The sequence below is a fragment of the Homo sapiens genome, chromosome 1 (genome assembly GCF_000001405.40).
Source record: "Homo sapiens chromosome 1, GRCh38.p14 Primary Assembly".
NCBI classification, from domain to species: Eukaryota; Metazoa; Chordata; class Mammalia; order Primates; family Hominidae; genus Homo; species Homo sapiens.
Genome location: NC_000001.11, coordinates 53,757,578 through 53,781,326, shown reverse-complemented (window position 1 = coordinate 53,781,326; position 23,749 = coordinate 53,757,578). Strand labels below are relative to the sequence as shown.

Below are 23,749 nucleotides of genomic sequence, written 5' to 3'. Positions count from 1 at the left end.
ATTCATTTGAAAGCATTGCTGAGTTCATAGTAGTTATTTCCTTTATCAGTGGATGGACAACAAGTATTATCCTCTGGAGGTCCATAGGATTTTATTGTTGTTTTTAAAAAGGGTGCTTACATACAAAATGTTAGGAACCAAAATGATATATTTTATAATTAAAATTTTTTTGGCTAAGTGCGTTGGCTCATGCCTGTAATCCCAGAGTTTTGAGAGGCTGAGGCAGGAGGATAGCTTGAGGTCAGGAGTTCAAGACCAGCCAGGGCAACATAGTGAGACAGTGTCTATAAAAAAAATTTTTAAAAATTTGCCAGGTGTGATGATGCTAGCTTATAGTTCCAGCTACTTGGGAGGCTGGGGCTGAAGGATCACTTAAGCTCAGGAATTTGAGGCTGTAGTGAGCTATGTGACTGTACTCCAGGCTGGGCAACAGAGTGAGACCCTGTCTCTAAAAAAAAAAAAAGAAAGAAAAATTAAACTTAGTAAAATATACATAACATAAAAATTAACCTTTTTAATCTAATTTTTAGTGTGTGGTTCTATGACATTAAATATATTCACATTGTTATGCAGTCATCACCACCATCCATCTCCAGAACCTTTTCATCTTTAAAATATGTTTTACATTCTTTAGATAGCCTTGGTTTCTGTGGAAAGGCCAATGTCATCCTAATGAAGTTGATCAACCCTATCTATTATATTTTTTGCCTCGTCACTTGAAGGTCAAATTTTGATCTATTTGGAATATTGATGTTTACCTTTATGCCATTCACAGATCCATCCCTCCAGTAACTATTTAATTATCAAGCAATTAGCATGTGATACGATACAGAATGGAAAAAGACAGGGTTCCTGCCCTCCGGGAGCTTACAGGATGTAAAACAGATAATCATACAAAGAACTACAGTTGTAGTCAGTGCCACAGTGCCACTGTGCATAGAAATGCAGTATGAGGCTGGGCGCGGTGGCTCACGCCTGTAATCCCAGGACTTTGGGAGGCTGAGGCGGGTGGATCACCTGAGGTCAGGAGTTTGAGACCAGCCTGGCCAACATGGTGAAACCCTATCTCTACTAAAAATACAAAAAATTAGCCGGGGGTGGTGGCGGACGCTTGTAATCCCAGCTACTCGGGAGGCTGAGGTGGGAGAATCGCTTGAACCTGGGAGGCAGAGGTTGCGGTGAGCTGCGATTGTGCCGTGATTGTGCCATTGCTCTTCAGCCTGGGCAACAACAGCAAAATTCCATCTCAAAAAAAGAAAAAAAAGAAATGCAGGATGATCAGAGAACATATGACAGGTGAATCTGAGCTAGTCTTGCAAGTAGGGGATAGAGAGATGTGAGATAATTAATGGCTCCTGGAGAATGTAGGGGTTGGAAGGAGGAATGGGGGAAAGAAAGGAATATTCTTGAGGGCCAGAGCTATGGATTTGAAGGCCCAGAGACCCTTGACCAACATTGTATCAGTCAGAGTCTATTCTCGGTTTCTATGAAGTCCTATGCTGCTTTACCTAACATTTGCATAGTATTCCAAAAGAAATGCTTTAAAAATGTTTTTTGTAAAACCCTGTGAGGTTAAAAGAAGGCTTATTTTGCATGTTGAAGTCTCTTTCAGAAACTATTTTCTGTGTGAGTACAACTTATTCATGATTGTACCTAGTAAATGGCTGAGTCAGAATTGGAAACTAGGGTTTTGGACCCCAAGTCCTTCGCAGGCCACCCTTTTAGATTACCTTTGGGAGAGCTTGGCAGAGTTTTGCATTTCTTAACCTCCTTTTTCACGATAGAATGGCAGTATGGCAGATGTGCCAAAGTGTGAGATCTGGAATCAGACTGACTTGTGTCTGAATTCCAGCTTCTACTGTTTCCTAGTTGGAAAATAACATTTATTATATTTCTTTGAATCTAAGATGCCATTAATTGGAACATATACCTTCATTTCAGAAAGTATAAAATGTAAAAAAAAAAAGTATGTTATAGAACTAATAAATATGGCAATCTCTAAACATCAGTTTTTATATCTGGAAGATGGGAGTGATGATAATGGTAGCTAGCTACCTCATAGGGTTATGAAGAGTAAATGAGATTATCTCTGTAAGGCCCTTGGCATGTGTGACCCATACTAGGTGCTTAGTAAATGTTAGCTCTTACTACTTTGTTGTCATTATTCCTATGTTACATGACAATTTTTTTTTTTTTTTTTTTTTTTTGCGACAGAGTCTTGCTTTATCACCCAGACTGGTCACTGCAACTTCACACGCTGGGCTTAATTGATCCTCCCTCCTCAGCCTCCCAAGTAGCTGGGACCACAGGCACGCACCACTATGCCCAATAATTTTTTTGTATTTTTAGTAGAGACAGGTTCTTGCCATGTTGTCCAGGCTGCTCTTGAACTCCGGAGCTCAAGTGATCTGCCTGCCTCGGCCTCCCGAAGTGTTGAGATTATAGGCGTGAGCCACTGCATCCAGCCACATGATAATTCTTATACAGGAGAAAAGATCTTTCAGATTAAAAGAAAGGTTAAAAAAAAAGTATTGCTGTCAATACTGTTAGCAAGCAATCTAGCAGACATAGTGTCAGACAGATACCCAGTTTAAACTATTCATATATTATCTTCATAATTTTTGTCATAACTATATTTTCACATACTATTGTCATTTAGTCATATTTTATTTCCCTGAGCTTTTATTTACTTAGTGTTTTAAGTCATTCATTTATTCTTTTTTTTTTCTTTTTTAATAAAGAGACAGGGTCTCACTTTGTTGCCCAAGCTAGTCTCCAACTCCCAGGCTCAAGCGATCCTCCTGCCTTGGCCTCCCAAAGTGTTGGGATTACAGGCGTGAGCCACCATGCCCGTCCAAGTCATTTATTTTAAAAGGAAACTTTATGACTACTGTAAAGGAAATTTTATGACTATAGTAAAGGAAAACTAGTTTGACTTGCTACAAATAGAATATGGGTCTATAGTCCTTTATCTCAAACCTTACCATGTATTTCAGAATTCAGATGTTTATTAATTTTAAAAATGTGACAGTGTGTGTGTGTGTGTGTGTGTGTGTGTGTGTGTGTATATACACACACACATCATATACTATATTACATTCCTTTTGGTATCTGAGGTAGAATCCCCTTAATCGGATACATTAATGCTTTTCTCCGGTTAACTGAATATTCAGATTAAGTGGGGTAAAGTGGGATGAAGACTATAAATAGCCTGTGTCAGCACAGGTCATGTTTTACTGCCAGATGAGTCCAAGTCAGGTCAGCTTTTGCCACCAAAAGATTTACATCTTTTGTTACAACATCACATCACTTTAAAAAAAAAAAGATTCTCCGGGCGCGGTGGCACACACATGTAATCCCAGCACTTTGGAAGGCCAAGACTGATGGATTGCTTGAGCCCCTGGTCAACATGGTGAAATCCCGTCTCCAACAACAGCAACAACAAAATTTAGGTGGGGAGGTGCACACGCCTATAGTCCCGTCTACTTGGGGGCTGAGCAGGGAGGATCACTTGAGCCTGGGAGGTCAAAGCTCAGTGAGCTGTAATCATACCACTACACTCAGCCTGGGCAACAGAGTGAGACCCTGTCTCAAAAAGAAAAAATAAGGTTGCAGAAGTTTTTTGTTTTCAGTGCTTTTTGGATATCAGAATTGAGGATAAGGCAATTAAAGTGAGAAAAGTCAATGATTTTAAATTCTAGCTTGATACTCTTACTTGCTGAGGTCTCTGAACCTGAGGCCTGCTTATCTTTTGTTACAAATGTGGATAGTGTGAGATTAGTAAGAACTAGAGAGGGGTTAAGGACACATTTACTCTAAACTGAGATTTTCCTTCTTAATTTAACGCTTATACCATTAGGGTGTGTTGGACCTAATTTTTTGCATTTCTATTTTGAGCATTTCTAACTATTTATAAAGATTGCTATTTTATGACCTTTATTCTTTCTTAGAGGTCTTTTAGAGAACAAAGAGAGCAATTACTTATTTAAAAAAAATTCAACAAGGTTGGACATGATGGCTCACATCTGTAATCCCAGCACTTTGAGAGGCTGAGGTGGGAGGATTGCCTGAAGCCAGGAGTTCAAGACCAGCTTGGTCAAGAAAGCGAGATCCTGTCTCTATAAAAAGTTTTAAAAAAAATTAGCTGGGTGCTGTGGTGTGCACCTGTAGCCTCTAATAGTGAGGAGGCTGAGACAGGAGGATTGCTTGAGTTTGAGACTACAGTGAGGTATGCTTGCCCTACTGCACTTCAGCCTGGGCAACAGAGTGAGACCCTGTCTCTAAAAAAAAAAAAATTCAACAAAATTTATTCTCTTGCAATTATCCATGTAGGTCTGTTGGGCCCTTTTAAAATCTAAGGTATATTATAGATCTAGTGATTGTACATTTTCACTATCTTGTAACAATTTGCTATCGATTATCCTAGGAATTATCATTACTCATTAGTTATTCTTGTGTTGTAAAAAAGACTAATATGAAAACAGAATAATGATAAAATCATGTAGTATTGCATGATTTTTCATGAAAAGCTATATGAAAAGTCTAGACACACATCTTTGTAGTCTTTTAGTTTTCATTGAATACAATTGATAATTCATAATTTTTAAATTTTCTGTCCACATGGTAAAGGGAAGAAAATTGCCAATATGTTAAAACAATTACTGAGACACATTGGAAGACAAATGCAGAGAGACAGATAGCAGCACTCTAGACCAGTTCTGTCCAATAGAAATAAAATGCAGTCACCTATGTAATCTTATATTTTCTGATAGATACATTAACAAAATACAGGTGAAATTAATAGTACAGTTTATTTAACCCAGTATTTAAGGTAGTATCATTTTATCATGTAATCAAGATAAAATTACTAATGAGATCTTTTATATCCATTTTTACATGCTAATTCTTAGAAATCTGGTGTTTGTTTTTCACTTTGTAGCATATCTCAATTCAGACCTGCCACATTTCAGGTGCTCAATAGCTACATGTGGCTAGTGGTTGCCATATTGGACAGCATAGCTCTAGACTTTAATGATGATGGTGAAATTGATCATATAAGAGGAATTTCAGGACCGGGCGCGGTAGCTCACACCTGTAATCCCAGCACTTTGGGAAACCGGGGAAGGCAGATCACTTGAGGTCAGGAGTTCGAGACCAGCCTGGCCAACATGGTGAGACCCCGTCTCTACTAAAAATAGCAATAAATTAGCTGGGCATGGTGGTGCATGCCTGTAATCCTAGCTACGAGGGAGGCTGAGGTGGGAGGATCGATTGAACCAGGGAGGCAGAGGTTGCAGTGTGCTGAGATCGTGCCACTGCACTCCAGCCAAGATGACAGAGTGAGACTCCGTCTCAAAAAAAAAAAAAAAAAGGAATTTCAGACTGTGAACCTTCAGTTGATGATATTCTAGATATATTTTCCTGAAACTCAAAGATTACAGAACAATATGTTTTTAAGGAGAGCAAGGAAATATATGTGGTATGCTTATCTAGTAAGTCATTCAACAGGAAAGACTTCATCCCACAGTATTTTATAATAAGAACTTAAATCTCTCATTTTGCTAAGAGTACACATGACCAGTGTTCCTTCATTTGCTGTTGTATTTGTGCACCAAAATTTGCTTTATACAATTTGTAAGGGGATAAGTGCTGAAGGTAGCTGTGTGTATACAAAGATAAGAAGGCAATAGGTGATGTCAAAGAAAAAAAGCCATTGGAATTGATCATTTGAATTTGTATTTATAAACCTAAGAATGAAAGTGTTTTGCAGCCAGGTGCGGTAGCTCATGCCTGTAATCCTAGCACTTTGGGAGGCTGAGGCGGGCGGATCACTTGAGGTCAGGAGTTCAAAACCAGCCTGGCCAATATGGTGAAACCCTATCTCTACTAAAAATACGAAAAAATTAGCTGGGCGTGGTTGCGGGCGCCTGTAATCCCAGCTACTTGGAAGGTTGAGGCAGGAGAATCGCTTGAACCTTGGAGGCAGAGGTTGCAGTGAGCCGAGATCACACTACTGTACTCCAGCCTGGGTGACAGAGTGATACTCTGTCTCAAAAATAAAAAGAAAGAAAAAGAAAATGTTTTGCAATTAAGGTGCAAAGAAAATGGCTGTACTTTCTTCAGCAAAATTATGAGTTGTCAAAAGTTATTTAAGGTACTGCATTTTGATGGTGCAAATGCAAGAAAAAGAACCAGAAGAATTGATGAGCTAGAACCTATTAGAGATACAGCCTAAATTTTGAGTTAGTATTTACAAGATGGATATATTCCAGATTTATGCATAATAGCTGGTGAACAGCTAGTTGCATTCAAAGGACATTGCTTATTTCAGGTGTGTATACCTTCAAAACCTAGAAAATATGGAATAAAAATTTGGATTTGCCGTGTTTATATTCTTATTTTCATTTTTATTTTATTTTATTTATTTAGTTTTTTAGAGACAGGTTGTTGCGCTGTTGCCCAGGCTCGAGTACAGTGGCATGATCATGGTTCACTGTAACCTTGAACTCTTGGGCTCAAGTAATCCTCCCACCCACATCAGTCTCCCAAGTAGTTGTGACTACAGGTATTGGACCACATCCAGCTAATTTTTAAATTTTTTGTAGTGACAGAGTCTTTCTGTGTTGCCCAGGCTGGTCTAGAACTCCTGGCTTCAAGCAGTCCTCCTGCCTCAGCCTCCCAAAGTGCTGGGATTACAAGTGTGAGCCATTGTGCCTGGCCTTCTTATTTAAAGTTTTATGGTGTTATTTTACATTACCTTGTCATCTGTAAATTGTTTGTAAAATGATTTTAGACTACAAAAAATATAAAGTATTCATAGGACCCAGGCATTAATGATGATGATTATTTTTCCTGGTATACTGAGGGTTAATCAGGACATTTGCAAGAAAATTGAAAAGAATATAACTTTTCCATTATGATGGAACAAGATTTGATGCATTTGTTCAATCTGCCACGATAACTCTGAGTCCAATCATTTATTTTTTCAACTGTCACTTTTAAAAGTGTTTCCCAAGACTGGAACATGCTTGAGATAATTTTAGGTAGTAGTTGAAATTCAGTGAAATACTTAAATAACACTAAATTCAGTGAAATTCAGTGAAATATTAAGTAATGCTAAAGTTACCGTGGCAGACTGAACACATGCATCAAATTTTGTTCCTTCCCCAAAACTCTGCTAAACTATAGGAAAGGTATTTTATAATACTTAAATCCATAAACAGGAGAGGACATAATAGCAACAAAACTTTCAAAGCTGGAAAGCAGATGGTTGAGATCGCTAACTTAGCAGTTTCCAGAGGCAGATTTCAAATTGGTGGTGGGAGAAGCACCAAGTAACTCTAGAACCACGCGTGAAGGGACAGGTACCCAAAATAAAGAGGTTTGGGTGAGAGCTGTTTGAAAATTAGTTAGATCCCTAGATCCTATGATGTGGGGTAATTGCTCCTCTTCCACTGTAGTCTGAGGTTTATCCTTTAAGAGAGAGTAGAACACCCAGTCTGGGGGAGTTGTGGGTGCTGCACTAAAGGAGAGGGATGAGTTCCAAAGCCCTGGTGTCCACCTGGCTTCAGAACACTGGGGCAGGCCCTGTAGTCAGGATACTAGAAGACTTTTCTTTGGGCACTCTGACCAGTCCAAGAAGAAAGACCTAAAGTGACTGAGTTGAAGGTTCACGCCCCAAAAGTCCCTGCAGATGACCCACTGTGAAGCCGCTCGTCTGTAATCCCCAGTCATGCACTTAGAATTGGTGCTCAGCTCTTTAGCAGGTCCCACTTGCATTTGTGAACGAGGATCACTAGATTTCTGAGGAAAGTCTCTCATGCAGAAGTTGGAGACTAAAGGGAGCAAAGGGGGAAAATCAGCTTGGAAGAAACTAAAAAACAAAAAAGCTGTCATCAGAATCCTTAGAAATAAGAAAGGATATTGCATCTTTGAAACAAAAATAGGATGCTAAAATTAAAAAGAACAGATGATGTTAAAGAGCTCTTGAAATTAAGAACTTGATGGCAAAAATAATTTTAATTATTTTTGTTTTCAGTTCTTTTGGTGGTTACATTCATAACTATAAATAGTACGCTTATACTGTTGTATCTTGTCAGTTTATTTTTCCATGGGGACCTCATGATGTAACAGTATCATAAATGCCTTATCTGAATTGAAAAGGAAGATAAACTATTTAGTGAATAACTATTTCTGTAAAGTATAAAGTTTTGGTCTTTTTTTTTTTTTTTGCTGAGGTCTTTTAATAAAGCTCCTCCTGGCTGTCACATCATAAGCAGAGTAGGACATCAGTGTTTGACTTCAAGCTTTGCATTTTCAAGGATATTGAATGATAGCTTCATTTCCAAGGGCAAGTCTGGATTTTGGGGGGGGCCTGGTAACTGTCATAGTAGCTGAGCCTCCCTATTGCATTGTTTATGAAACTATTTTGACTGTGATCTACAGTAAGAAATGTGTTACAGCATAGCTATAGATATGTGTATATCTCTCTGTATATATCCATTTGTATCTATCTCAAATCTTAATTCTTTGGACTGAAGTGACTTTTTTCTTTTTAATTTTTTATTTTATTTTATTTTATGTTATATTATGTTTGTTTTGTTTTGTTATGTTATGTTATGTTATGTTATGTTATGTTATGTTATGTTATGTTATGTTATGTTATTTTGAGACAGGATCTCTGTCGCCCAGTCTGGAGTACAGTGGAACTCCTGGGCTCAAGCAGTCCTCCCGCCTCGTCCTTCCAAAGTGTTGGGATTACACATGTGAGCCACAGCACCTGGCCTAGGTTGGCTTTCTTTATAATCTAAACTGATGTGTTTTCTTTCTTGGTGTAGGCAGTCGACAAGTACTTTAAGCTTCCTCATGCTTCCAGTAAACCACCCCGGATTTCAGGAAGCCTTGTGGACACTTCATATAAAACATTAAGATTTGCATTCAGAGCATCACTGAAAACTGCCATCTATCGAATAACTACTACATTTGGTGAACATCTGAAGTAAGTTTACCTGTTTTGATCCATGATGATACCTATTCTGGGGAGCTTTCCTTAGAAATAGGTATGGGAATGATAAGGCTCATGTGTTGAAAGTGTTCTTTTGGGACCTTGATGATTCTCACTGTAAACTTACAGCTTGGATGTGGACTTAATATTTATATTTTAAAATTTGGCCCATCATAAAGCTTTGGGGATTTCTTTCAAATGGACAAAAGAAGACAGAAAGTTATAAATGCAGCAGATTAATTATATATATATATTTAAATTATCAAAAGATCCTTAAGGGAGAAAAAAGAGCAGAAAACCCGAGTACCTTTCCAGAAAAGCATATTAAAACTAATTCTATTGTTATATCTTGGTCAGCAAACTGAAGACTTGGGGTGAGCAAAGTATTCCAGAAATGAATCCCTGGTGCTTTGTGATTCATGCTGGAAAAACACCAACAGATCACAACACCTTGAGAAACAGAACCAGAGAGAAAACCACAAATGCCAAGCCTGTTTATATTTAGTTTTATTCATGTTTACTGCTTTCCTCTTGTGAAATGATCTAGCTAGGCAGGATGAGGGATACTAGCTTAGTAACTAAACTGTATTTATATTTATCACAATTATAAATGAACTTTAGAAGACACGAGAGATTGCTCTGCTGTTTTTGTATGCAATCAATGAATAGTTTAAGACTTCCAATTTAAATTAAAGTTAAATAAAGTTAAAAATTCAATTTGTCAGTCACCCTAGCCACATTTGAAGTACTTAATAACTACATGTGTTTAGTAGCTACTGTATTGGACAACAGAAGTATAACATCTTTCCCTACTTCCAGAAAGTTTTATCAGATAGTGCTATTCTAGACAATACACTTAGAACTTAATGTTTTTTCATTTACTCTTTTCAAAGACCCTGTGAAGTGTAGAAATTATCATAATTGTACAGATACGAAAACTGAGGCATAGAGATGTTAAAATTTGCCTGATAGCACAATCTAGTGCGTATTAAACATGAACCTGAAATCAAGTCTTTCTTTCTCTTAAAAATCTTTCATCTTTCTATCTACAACACTAGACTGCCTCCAAGATATAAATTAGTATGTAGGACACATTCAGAAAATACTGATGAATTTAGAGAATGAAATAGATATGACATATATTAATGATAGAACAAAAGCAAGGAGAAGGGCATACCCGTAGACCTTGCCTGACTGTGCTCATGTCCAGGCAGGGGGGACATTGTATTCGAGATTAATTTGAAGTTCCTGCCAGCTTTATCCAGCTTAATCAGTGGCTGGATAAATAGCAGGACTGTAACATTCCCCTGGGGGAAAAAAGGCAAGAAGAAAAGGGGAGCATAGGGATTTAGATAAGAAAGCGATATAGGCCAGGCACAGTGGTCTATGCCTGTTATCCCAGCACTTTGGGAGGCCGAGGTGGGTGGATCACCTCAGGTCAGGAGTTTGAGATCAGCCCGGCCAACATGGTGAAACCCCGTCTCTACCAAAAATACAAAAATTCACTGGGCGTGGTGGTGCTCACCTGAAATCCCAGCTACTCGGGAGGCTGAGGCATGAGAATCACTTGCACCCAGGAGGCGGAGGTTGCAGTGAGCCGAGATCGTGCCTCTGTACTCCAGCCTGGACAACAGAGCGAGACTCGGTCTCAAAGAAAAAAAAGAAAAAGAGATATAGATGACTGATTAAAAATTATGAGAATGGATTATGAGAATGGGCCGGTTGCAGAGGCTCATGGCTGTAATCCCAGCACTTTGGGAGGCCAAGGCGGGCGGATCATCTGAGGTCAGGAGTTTGAGACCAGCCTGGCCAACATGTTGAAACCACTTCTCTACTAAAAATACAAAAATTAGCTGGGCATGGTGGCAGGCAACTATAATCCCAGCTACTCCAGAGGCTGATGCAGGAGAATCACTTGAACCCGGGAAGTGGAGGTTGCAGTGAGCCGATACTGCACCACTGCACTCTAGCCTGGGCGACCGAGCAAGACCCTGCCTCAAAGATAAATAAATAAATAAATACATAAATAAATAAAATAAAAATTGTGAGAATGAAATTCCGCCTTAGTTTCTTTTCTCTGAAAAGAGCCATATTTTAGCGAGACCCTGCCTCAAAAATAAATAAATACATAAATAAAATAAAAATTGTGAGAATGAAATTCCACCTTAGTTTCTTTTCTCTGAAAAGAGCCATATTTTATATATGTGCCAAAGCTGATAAAATCAGTGGAGGCTATTTGTACAAATGTAGGACAGTGTCGTATAGTGGAAAGAATGTTAGATCTGGAGTTAAAATATCTGGATTTCTGTCTGCTTGCATCATTAGCTATCTGTGATTGTGAGCAAGTTTCCTAGTGTTTTAAGTAATTCACCCAAGATTATGCAAGTAGTGAGTTGCAGAACCAGGATTCAGATGCAAATCTTTCTAACCCTAGGGTTCTATCTCTAGTGTCTATACTCCTAACCTAGACTGTGGTGTTTCCCCTAACTTCTGAATCTTTCTGATACAGTTTTTGTCCCCATGAAAGGGAACATTCTCACACCCACTTGGTTTCATTTGTTGTTAGTAAAGATAAAATGGGATCATACGTAGGTAAAGCCCACTGTGCAGTCTACATTATCATGATACTTATTGTATAATATCTGATTATTCACTATTCAAAGCTCTACCTCTGAGAACTAGGTATAAATGAAGTTAGCTCTTGAGCTCTGAAAATCAACTAACAAACACAGCCCACTCATTGGAGACATTCATTCAACACTATTTACTTATTTTTTAAAAGATAAATTGTATTGTGTATATTTGAGGTTTATAACATATGTTATGGGATTTATATATAAATAGTAAAATGTTTAGTGAAGTAAATTAACATGTCTGTCATCTCACATAGTTACTTTCTTGTGTGTATGTCAAAGGCAGCTAAAATCTGCTTATTTAACAAAAATACCTAGTACATTACAATTTTGTTAGCCATAGTCGTCATGTTATACATTAGATCTCTAGACTTGTTCATCCTACATATGTGCAACTTTCTATCCTTTGACCTACATCTCCCCATTCCCTGCCACCTCCCATTTACTCCTAATTTAGGCTAATTTAATTCTGGTTTTCCAGCCTATAACATATCAAAAAAATTTTTTTGAGTCAGGGTCTTGCTCTGTTGCCCAGGCTGGAGTGCAGTGACAAGATCATAGCATAGTTCACTGCAGCCTCAAACTCCTGAGCTCAAGCAGTTCTCCTGCCTCAGGCCTCTCAGTGTTGGGATTACAGGTGTGAACCACCATGCCTGGCCCATATCAAAATTTATTTGAGGGGCAGAGATTGCTACTAGAGTCAGGAGTACTAATAGTAAATTGTAAGGGACACTTTACTACCTGCTAGCAGAGAGAAATATAATGGGAAAGCCACAGATTTGGTGTTGGAGAGAATTCCAGAGCCATTAAGTTAGAGAAGACAGCCTCACTAGCACCTAGAGGGCATCTTTGTACAGTAAAATACTTGAAATGGTTCAATTGGAGGTACATGGTTCAAGAAAGCAAAGATGTCTATAAGACATTTTAGGGCAATTCATAACACAATTATTAAAATAAGACCGTTTTGGCACTTTTAAAAGCGGTGACCTATTCAAGAACTAGAAAACCGGAATTTTTCATTATATTCAATTTTTGCCCAAAAGTTTAAGAGGAAGTATTATACTAGTTTCAGTATATATTTGCCCTAATTTTATCAAGGTGTAATATATTTTCGTGATGGTGAGGGTGGAGAGAGAACACAGTGTTCACATCCAAAACATAACTTATGTTCAAAGGGAGAAGTAAATCTAAACCACCAAGCTGTTACCTTTGAAAACAATTAATGGAGTCTATTGTGTTTTAACCAAACATTTTAGATTAAAGGATTTTGTATTAAAGGCAATTCAGATACTCCACAACTCAAAGATAATGTTGGAATCTGGTTTAAATAAAATAATAAAATCCAGAAAATCTACTCCAAGGCCTGGAACTCCGCACAGCAGGTTCCATAGCAGAGCAGGTTAAAGTCAATGCCTTCACTTGTCAGTCTTAATTTGTTTGGTCTTTTAGAAGATAGAAGCATGCCATTACTGAATGCAAGCCCTCCTCTTCATTAGATTAAAAAGAGTTTTCATCCAGCTTTTTCAGAAATAGTAATAAGTGAAGATTTCTATTCATTTTTAATTGTTTTGAAAAATATTGTCTCTGTGCTCTGTGGTTCACTTAATATGCTTAATGTAAAATAAAGCTTATGCTTTGAATTTATGTTTCATTTAGTGCTGTGCAAGCATCTGCAGAACATCAGAAAAGACTTCAACAGTTCTTGGAGTTCAAAGAATAGTTAAGTAATATAAACTGTGTTCATTACACTGCTGATACAACTACAGATGGGACAGTAAATGTTCAGCATTCTTGGATCAGAAGAAAACGGACTAATTAGATGCTTCCTTTGTCGTGGTGGTTGCTTTGAAAACTATACTTTAATGGGAGAAATCATGGAAAGAAATTCTCAACAGAATAACTGAAAACTGCCTTTTCTGTACCGATTGCTTTTTGTGTGTGTGGTATAATAAAATCTTTATTCAATTTTACAGAAGCATTGATGGCAGTCGAAATGTCTCTAGCTCATATAACTTAATAGTAATAACTAAAAAACTTTTAGAATTTACTTTTGAAAGGAGGGAAGCCAGTTCTGAAATGAGTATAGGTTGATTTCATAGTCTTCTTAATTAAGAGTTTAGCTCTTTGTAAACTCAAAATACATAAACTTTTTAAGTGTAGTTTCATTTACTGAAGGATAAAAATGGTAACAGTGCAGCAATATTCACAAAAAATATTGTCTAACGGACATATTTTGTTAATCTGTTAGGTTGGGTTTTTGTTTCCAGGGACAAATTAAATTTGTATGATTACCCAAAAAAGGGTCTCAGTTTACAGATGCTAACTCTATATAAAGGAATGTGGAAAAACTCAGTTCTTAAGTTACAAGATTAAAAATTCACATTTGGTCTTTAAGAAACAATTGACTGACATCTATGAATTTATTTTGTATCATGCTAGTAAACACGAAGTATTAATGTATGGGTATTTTCCCAGCTAGTTTTGCTTTCTTTTTCTGGAGCAAAACATTAAGTGATTGCAGAGTTTTTCAAGCAAGAGAAAAAGGTTTGCAAAAAAACCCAGGAAATGTTCCCTTTTTTCCCCACCATTCATCTTCATTAGATCAAATTCTGTGAAACTTGTCTGGTCTCTCAAAGGGAGCAGCCTCTGTAGTGTTAAATGGCTAATTAAAATAGGAAGATCTTTATAGCCAGAAACAACTTAGTCATCAAATAGCAAGTGAAACCAAAACGTCAGAGGGATTACTGTACTTGGAAGTATGTTGTGTGTCCCAAATGTGAACGAAGTATTGTTAGAATTTATTAGATCAGCTTCTTTGGAGATCAAAGATTGGAAATCCTAGTCATAGATATTCACTGGACTGGCTTTGGACTGAAATGCTCCTTTGTAATTCTTTTCCTATTGTCTTTTCCTTCTAGTGTCCCAAAATATTTTCTTTAAAGTCAGCACAGTACTGTATATGAATCTTTAATGTGGTATCATATATGTCTACTTTTGTCTGATTCATCGATGTATTATATCTTTATAATTGAATATTTTAGCTCCGGGTCCTGTTGCCCCTTCAAGCAGTACATGCCAAATTATAAATAGGTGCTACTGGCCTTGAGCATATCACTGTGGGACAGTTCCCCAATTGTCAAGTGTTTAGATATGTAGACTATTGCCATTTGTTTTTTTGTTTTGGTTTTGCTTTGTGTCTGAAGCTGAATTGATTTCTTTTTTTTGAATGTGAAAGTTGAATTTCAAACGTAGTCATTTCTTACAGATGGCCAAGACAGAAAATTGTGGCTAGGTTGACTGAGAACTGTTGTCTTCCATGTATTAACACAATTAAGCTTTTTATATTCCACTCTCTGTGCTGACCCTGGCTGAGGCATTTTGGGAGACAAGGACTCTGAATCTTCTGCTTCCATTAAAGAAGAACTGTGATATTCAACATTGGATTTCTGAGAATAAAGATAGGATGATTCCTTTGAACTTTGACTTACTTGTATAAAATGTCCAGCTAGGTTAGGTTTTTGCCATTTCCTATATACTTTGGGTAAAGCTACATTTGATGAGCAATGTGAATGTTTCTGAGAATGTTCATTCCTGTTTTCTCTTAAGAGAATGTGCTGTGTACTAAATACAGGCCACATAGTGTCTGCCTGTTGAAGATCTGGAAACTGCCTCCCCAGATCTGTATTGTATTTGGTAGGTAAGGGGGTCAGTTTCTTTTTCTCATTGTGTGTTGATAATCTACACACCATCTGTTGGAACCAGGGTGTTATTATGGGGAACTCCTCCTGTGTACTAGGAGGAGGACCTTAGGGAGACCAAGAGGAGAGAAGCATTTCCTTTGATGAAGTCACATCCTGTCTATGAGCCCACTAATGCTGTAACATTGGCCTGAAAGAGAGTGTTCTTTAAAAGCCTTTCTCGGCTGTTAGTATAAAAACATGATGGTATCAGCTCTTAGCATGTTTGCTTGACCCTTATGGAAGGTATAAATCCACAGAACTTCCTTCCCAGAGAACTGGGAAATTGTCCTAGAAATAAACCTTGTACAGTTGAGTGGACATGGATAAGCAACAATTTGTTACTTTGCAGGATTTGTTCCTTGGTAATTGTTTGGTGTGTCATCCTGTAAATATTCATGATAGTCTGTTTATATCCTTTTGTATATCGTTGATACTGGATTGGGTAGAAAAATAAATTGGCAATTTAAAAAAATGGAACAGTTAATTGAAATATGTGTGTTTATAAGGTCAATTATTTAATTTCTGGGCGGGGGGGTGGTGGTGGTGATGTTTCCTGAATCATTTCAATTTAGTCTCAGAGTTGTTGCTTATAAAACCAGAAAGAGTTGAACTTCTTGAGAAGTCAGCTTTTGCCCTTAACCTAGACTGATTTGGTGGGTTTCATGGTAACTCTAAGGAGCCTGAATTCAGAAAGTCTCATTCTTTGTTGTCTTGGCTGACAAAACTAAACAAAGGGTGGAGGTGCTCAAAGCCATCTCTTAACAGAAGTTTCTTTTCTTGCAATAGTGTTTCCAAATGGATCGTATTCCCCTAGGCTAACAGTTACGTCTGTCAACGTTACTTAAATTAATCTGAACTTCACCTCTAGGTAGTTGAGGTACCTCAAACCCCTTCTAGCTCTCCCAAGCCATAGTTACCTTTCTTTACAACCAAATAGCTTAAAACAAAGATGGCTTTCATTCATCAGTTAACAATCCAGCTATGCTTACCAAGCTGCTGGCCATTTTTAAGTAAGCAAAATCTTTATTGTTTTGAGGGGCAAGAAAGGGGATGGATAAACACATACCTCTACAGTTCTGCCATGCTCCTAAGCAGCCTTGGCACAAGTTGCTGTCGTGATGGGCAGGTTGATGTGGAACTAGCTGATCATTCACAAACATTCACTGAGTGTCTCTTATGGCACAACAATTAGAAATAAACTGAACAAGACAGTCCCTGCTCTCAAGGAGTTTATAATCTAATGGGGTATTTGAAACCCACTGTGCATCGGAATCACCAGGAGGGCTTAGTAGCTATGTAGAATCTGGGCTCCACGATAGTGCAGATTTTGCTTCAAGAGGTCTCAGCTGGTTCCCAAGAGATGTAGTTTTTAATAAAAGTCTAAGCAGAATCACATTATGAGAAGGGTTTATTCTAGATCATACTTTAGCATGTATCAGAATCTCTTGAGGAGCTTATTAAAACAGATTTACTGGCCCCACCTCCAGAGTTTCTTTTCCTTCCTTCCATCCTTCCACAGGTTCTTTTTCTCTGTCACCCAGGCTGGAGTGCAGTGACATGATCCTGGCCCACTGTAGCCTTGACCTCTCAGGCTCAAGCAATCCTCCCACTTCAGCCTCCCATGTAGCTAGGATCATAGTGCACACCACCACGCCTGGCCATATTCTCTATTTTTTGTAGACACAATGTCCCACTATTGCCCAGGCTGGTATCAAACTCCTGTGCTTAAGCAATCCACCCACCTCAGCCTCCCAAAGTGCTGGGATTACAGGTGTGAGCCATGGCACCCAGCCTAGAGTTTCTGATTCAGTAAGTCTAGGGTAGGGCCCAATAATTTGCATTTCTGACACATCACCAGGTGATGCTGATGCTGCTAGTCCTGAGACCATACTTTGAGAACCAGTGTTCTAGTGGATTGCTAATGTGTTCTCTCAGATGAGTGTCTGAAGCAATATGAACTATCATTCGCTGTAGAGTTCTTCTATCTGATTCAGTTATTGAAAAGCTTGAAGAGTACAGTTAAATCTCTAGGTAATGCAAGAATGCTGAGCAATGTTCAGGTGTTCAGATACTTATCTTGAAGTTGCAGCAGTGACATGACATGGGTTGCCTTTCCACACCATTCTGTGCTGGTGCGTGTTCCCTTTACCTGAATTTCTATCTTTTTGGCAAAAACTTCCCATTCTTTAGAATGAGCTTAACCGTCATTATCATTAACCATAGCATGTCCTTAGATGTCCTGGTGCTAGCCCACTTTGTCACCCACCTCATTTTGCAGAGCTGTGTGGCTGGACCGCCCTCAAGTGGTCATGCTCTCCCTGCTCACATGTATTTTACCAGATTTTGAGTGTGCCTTATAAGTGATTCTGTTGGTAAAGTGGTTCTGGAAGTCCCATGGAATGCCTGGCAGAGAAACACTGGAAGGTGACCTCTGAATCAGATTTTTACCTTGATAGTCGTTTGAAGATATGTTGACTCTTAGTTGGTTTATCCTTTTACCTCTCAAGCCATTAGTAAGAGTGGTGTGTAGTCTTAAAAAAAATATTAAACGCTAGTCTCTTCCTAACTGTATTATGATGTTTGGTTGCAAGGACACAACCTCTACCTCAATTAGGTTAAGCATAGAAAGGAGAGTTGATTCTGAGGGCACAGGAAAGTTTTGGTGAGCACAAGTGTAGGTTCCAGACCCCAGAAAGAATCTGAAGAGCTCTCATGGTCTCCTTCTCAGCTGTTTTCTGCACATACGTTTTATTCTCCCTCCTTGCTTTCTGCCACTCCATCCAGCTCCCGAGTTTACAATGTAATAAGAGACTGACCAGCTAGTTCTGAATACCAACCAAATTCCTGATTGAAAGAGATTAGCCTAAATGGATGAAATATCCAAGGGTCTAATTAGGCGTGAGGGGCAAGGCCATGGTGTGCCAACATAGCTTCTACAAACCTACCTTTGTTGATCAGGATGAGATGGAGAGTAGGGGCAGTTCCCAGAGCCTCCCAGGATAGAGGACAAAATTTGGGATTCAAGGCCTGCAAAGAGGAGCTGGCAAATCCCCTTGCCTTGGGTTGGGACCCCAAAGTGCTTCACCTTAGGAGGAAGGATGAAGAGGAAGTAGATGCCATAAACTAATTGAGGGAGAATCCTCATTAAATTGGATTGAGATTATCTGTTTGCCAGTATTTCCAGGCCCTGGCAGAAGCTAAATAAATCCTTTCTGAGGAACACAACACCATAGGCCTTCATTATATCTATAAACAAATTTTCAAATACAGTTCTATACACCATTAAAAGTAGCCAGGCTCAGGAAGAGACAGCATAACATGAATGAGAACCAACAAAAGCAATCGACAATAGATTGATCCATAGGGACTCTGCATGAGAGAGTTATCGGAGATTTTAAAATAGTTATTACTGCTATATTCAATGAGACTAAAAATTCTAATTCATTAGAGAACTGGAAGCTACATATTTACATATATAATTTGTGGTTAGGTACTTATAAGCCATTTATATAAAATTTGATAATGAACCATGGAGAAATTCTAGAACAGAAACAGGATAACTAAAAATAAGAGGTCAATGGGTAGATTTAATGGCAGATTAGACATAGCTGAAGAAAATGACTGAAGATAGGTCAGAAGAAACTATCCAGAATAAAGCTTTGAAAGTCAAAAATATTAAAATACAGAAGATAGATTAAAATAGATGATACAGTGAGAAAATGTATAAGTGTAATTGGAATCCTGGAAGGAGAGGGAGATCTAATGGAACAGAAGCAGTTTTGAAGATACGAAACAGAGAACTTTCCAAACTTGAGACATCAAGCCACAGATTGAAAAAGCTTTATGAGCCCTAAACAGATAAATAAAAAGAACCCACACTGAGCTACATCATAGTAAAGGCACTAAAAACCAAAGACAAAGTCTTCAAAGTAGAGAGAAAAAAAGACCACTTTTATTTTATTTTTGAGACAGGGTCTCGCTCTGTTACCCAGGCTGGAGTGTAGTGACATGATCTTGGCTCACTGCAGCCTTGACCTCCCAGGCTCAAGCAGTCCTCTCACCTAAGGCCCCTAGTAGCTGGGACTATAGGCATGTGCCCCCGTGCCTGGCTAATTTTTAAATTTTTTGTAGGAACAGGTTCTCACCATGTTTCCCAGGCTGATCTCGAACTCCTGGGCTCAAGTGATCCCGCCTCTGCCTCCCAAAGTGCTGGGATTACAGGTGTAAGCCATTGTGCCTGGCCAAAGGCCACTTTCAAATGAGCAGCAATTCTCAACAAAAACAACTGAAGACAACGAAATGGACATTTTAAAGTGCCGAAAGGACTCTACTAACCTAGAATTTTATACCCAGCATTAATCTTTTAAAATGGTGGGGAAATAAAGACTTTTTTTTCAGACAAACAATACCTGAGAGATTTCAACAATAGCTGAGAGATTTCATTATAAGGATAGATACGTTGAAAGTAAAAGGATAGGAAAAGATAAACATGCAAACACTAAATGAAAGCTGGTATAGCTATGTAAGTTTTTGACAAAGTACACTTTAAGACAGAAAGCCTTACTAGAGATAAATAGGGACACCTCAAAATAATAAAAGATTTTTTAAAAAAGGTTCATTTAATATGATACAGTTCTTTTTTTTTTTTCTTTTGTTGAGACGGAGTCTTGCTCTGTTGCCCAGGCTGGAGTGCAGTGGCACAATCTCGGCTCACTGCAAGCTCCGCCTCCTGAGTTCACGCCATTCTTCTGCCTCAGCCTCCCGAGTAGCTGGGACTACTGGCGCCCACCACCATGCCCGGCTAATTTTTTTTTTTATTTTTAGTAGAGACAGGGTTTCACTGTGTTAGCCAGGATGGTCTCGATCTCCTGACCTCGTGATCTGCCCGCCTCAGCCTCCCAAAGTGCTGGGATTACAGGCGTGAGCCACTGTGCCTGGCCAATATGATACAGTTCTAAATGTTAATGCAACTTCTGTAACCTCTAAGTACATAAAGCAGTATGGGCAAAAGATGAACAGATGCTTCAAAAGAGTTTATCCCAATGGCCTGTAAGAGAAATAAGCACCCTTAGTTATTAGGAAAATACAAACTTAAAATGTAATGAGACACCACTACATACCCTGATACGGTTGGCTCTGTGTCTCCACCCAAATCTCATCTTGTAGCTCCCATAATTCTCACGTGTTACGGGAGGGACCCAGTGGGAGATAATTGAATCATAGAGCAGGTCTTTCCTGTGCTGTTCTTGTGATAGTGAATGAGTCACGTGACATCTGAGGGCTTTAAAGACAGGAGTTTATCTCCACAAGCTCTCTCTTTGCCTGCCGCCATCCACCTAAGATGTGACTTGCTCCTCCTTGCCTTCCACCAGGATTGTGAGGCTCCCCCAGCGACATGGAACTGTGAGTTCTCCATTAAGCCTCTTTCCTTTGTAAATTGCCCAGTCTCGGGTTTGTCTTTATCAACAGCATGAAAACAGATTAATACAGTAAATTGGTACCAGTAGAGTGAGGTGCTGAAAAGATACCTGAAAATGTGGAAGTGACTTTGGAACTGGGTAACAGGCAGGGGTTAGAACAGTTTGGAGGGTTCAGAAGAAGACAGGAAAATGTGGGACAGTTTGGAACTTACTTGAGACTTGTTGAATGGCTTTGCCCAAAATGTTGATAGTGATATGGACGATATAGCCCAGGCTGAGGTGGTCTCAGATGGAAATGAGGAACTTGTTGGGAACTGGAGCAAAAGTGACTCTTCTTATGTTTTAGCAAAGAGACTGGTGGCATTTTGCCCCTGCCTTCGAGATTTGTGAAACTTTGAACTTGAGAGAGATTATTTAGGGTATCTGGTGGAAGAAATTTCTTCTTTTTTTTTTTTCGAGAGGGAGTCTTGCTGTGTTACCCAGGCTGGAGTGCAGTCTCATGATCTCGGCTCACTGCAGCCTTCACCTTCTGGGTTCAAGTGATTTTCCTGCCTCAGCCTCCCAAGTAGCTGGGACTACAGGCACACGCCACCATGCCTGGCTAATTTTTGTAATTTTAGTAGAGACAGGTTTTCACCATATGGGTCTGGCTGGTCTGTAACTCCTGACCGCAGGTGATTCTACCCACCTCGGCCTCCCAAAGTGCTGGGATTACAGGTATGAGCCACCATGCCCAGCCAGTGGAAGAAATGTCTAAGCAGCAAAGCATTCAAGAGGTTACTTGGGTTCTGTTAAAGGCATTCAGTTTTAAAAGGAACACAGAGCATAAAAGTTTGGAAAATTTGCAGCCTGACAATGTGATAGAAAAGAAAATCCCATTTTTTGAGGAGAAATTCTAGCTGGATGGAGAAATGTGCATAATGAGAAGCCAAATGTTAATCCCCAAGACAATGAAGAAAATGTTTCCAGGGCATGTCAGAGATCTTTGTGGCAGCCCCTCCCATCACAGGCCTGGAGATTTAGAAGGAAAAAATGGTTTCGTGAGCCAGGCTTAGGCTCCCTCTGCTATGTGCAGTCTAGGGACTTGGTGCCTGCATCCCAGCTACTCCAGCCATGACTAAACGGGGCCAAGGTACAATGCAAGCTGTTGCTTCAGACAGTGGAAGCCCCAAACCTTGGCAGCTTCCACATGGTGTTAAGCTTGTGGGTGCACAGAAGTCAAGAATTAAGGTTTGGGAATCTCCACCCAGATTTCAGAGGAGGTATGGAAACACCTGGATGCCAAGGCAGAAGGTTGCTGCAGGCGTTGGGCCCTCATGAAGAACCTCTGCTCAGGAAGTGCAGAAGGAAAATGTGGGGTTGGAGGCCCCACACAGAGTCCCTAGTGGGGCACTGCCTAGTGAAGCTGTGAGAAGAGGGCCACAATCCTCTAGACCCCAGAATGGTAGATCCACTGACAGCTTGCACCATGTGCCTGGAAAAGCTGCAGACATTCAGTGCCAGCCTGTGAAAGCAGTCAGGAGGTGGGCTGTACCCTGCAAAGCCACAGGGGTGGAGCTGCCCAAGGCTGGGGGAGCCCACCTTTTGCATCAACGTGACCTGGGTTTGAGACATGGCGTCAAAGGAGACCATTTTGGAGCTTTAAAATTTGACTGCCCCACTGCATTTGGGACTTGCATGAGGCCTTTGTTTCGGCCAATTTCTCCCATTTGGCATGGCTGTATATACCTAATACCTGTACTCCCATTGTATCTTGGAAGTAACTAGCTCACTTTTGATTTTACAGGCTTATAGGTGGAAGGGACTTGCCTTGTCTCAGATGAGACTTTGGACTGTGGACTTTTGAGTTAATACTGAAATGAATTAAGACTTTGGGGGTCTGTTGGGAAGGCATGACTGGTTTTGAAATGTGAAGACATGTGATTTGGGAGGTGCCAGGGGCAGAATGATATGATTTGGCTCTGTATCCCCACCCAAATCTCATCTTGTATCTCCCATAATTCCCATGGGCTGTGGGAGGGACCCAGTGGGAGATAACTGAATCATGGGGGCGGGTCTTTCCTTTGCTGTTCTCGTGATAGTGAATAAGTCTCATGACATCTGATGTCTTTAAAAACAGGAGTTTGCCTGTACAAACTCTCTTCACCTGCCGCCATCCACGTAAGATGTGACTTGCTCCTTCTTGCCTTCTACCATGATTGTGAGGCCTCCCCAGCCACGTGGAACTGTGAGATCTCCATTAAACCTCATTCCTTCGTAAATTGCCCAGTCTCGGGTTTGTCTTTATGAGCAACATGAAAACAGACTAATACACACCCATTACAAAGGCTAAAAATAAAAGGATTGATAATAACGGGTGTTGATGAGGATGTAGAACAACTAAAACTCTCATATAATTGCTGGAAGGAGGGAAAAAATGGGCAATATCTACTAAAGCTAAACATGTGCCTACCCTGTGACCTATCGGTTCTGCTAATTGGTAAATGTCCAAGAGAAATGAGTGCATATGCCCACCAAAAGTCATGTTTACTAGGATGCCTCTAAGCAGGAGTTTTCACAATAGTCCCCAATGAGAGACAATTGAAATGTTCATCAACAGTAGAATAAAGTGTGCTATACTTTTACGGTGCAATGTTACTTAGCAATCAAAAGAATGAACTACTGCTAAATGTAACAATGTGAATGGAGCTCACAGACACTAAGCCAAAGAAGCCAGACACAAAGGAATATCTAATGTATGATGACATTTATATGCATATTGAGAACAGGTGGAATTTAATGGTGATAGAAGTCAAAGTAGTGGTAATGGGGAAGGAGGCAGTATATTGACTTTGTGGAAGGGCATGAGGAAAACTTCTGAGGTGCTGGAAACGTCCATATATTGATTTGAGTTATGGGGGTGTATACATATAAAAATTCATTGAATTGCATGTGCAAAATTTGTGTACTTTA

The 23,749-nt window shown here is 39.4% G+C and overlaps 1 protein-coding gene, 1 long non-coding RNA gene and 1 other non-coding gene across 6 annotated transcripts in view, besides 1 other annotated feature; all 3 read left to right on the top strand.

The window, feature by feature from the left end:
* The window catches only part of NDC1 (NDC1 transmembrane nucleoporin), a 72,819-nt gene extending 56,970 nt beyond the window's left edge, over positions 1-15,849 (top strand). For all 4 annotated transcript variants that reach the window (NR_033142.2, NM_001168551.2, NM_018087.5 and 1 more), the window contains 2 exons: positions 8,838-8,998; positions 13,294-15,849. Coding sequence is in view for 3 of the 4 variants with exons in the window: in NM_001168551.2 (NP_001162023.1) it covers positions 8,838-8,998; positions 13,294-13,357 (225 nt within the window). In the remaining variant the exon portion in view is untranslated. The remainder of the gene's footprint in view (positions 1-8,837; positions 8,999-13,293) is intronic.
* LOC124900439 (small nucleolar RNA SNORA58) lies at positions 10,174-10,309 on the top strand. Its single transcript, XR_007067395.1, has one exon. It is a non-coding gene; the product is annotated as a small nucleolar RNA SNORA58 (small nucleolar RNA).
* Positions 10,227-10,789: an enhancer, noted in NCBI's record as "H3K4me1 hESC enhancer chr1:54236211-54236773 (GRCh37/hg19 assembly coordinates)". NCBI's record gives its function as "activates a minimal SCP1, AML or CMV promoter by ChIP-STARR-seq in naive H9 embryonic stem cells {active_cell/tissue: H9 hESC(naive)}" and the evidence as "EXISTENCE:reporter gene assay evidence [ECO:0000049][PMID:30033119]".
* A 3,456-nt stretch (positions 15,850-19,305) lies between the features above and the next one.
* Positions 19,306-23,058, top strand: LOC124904179 (uncharacterized). The gene is made up of 2 exons (XR_007066094.1): positions 19,306-20,780; positions 22,917-23,058. It is a non-coding gene; the product is annotated as an uncharacterized LOC124904179 (long non-coding RNA).
* Positions 23,059-23,749: the final 691 nt, after the last annotated feature.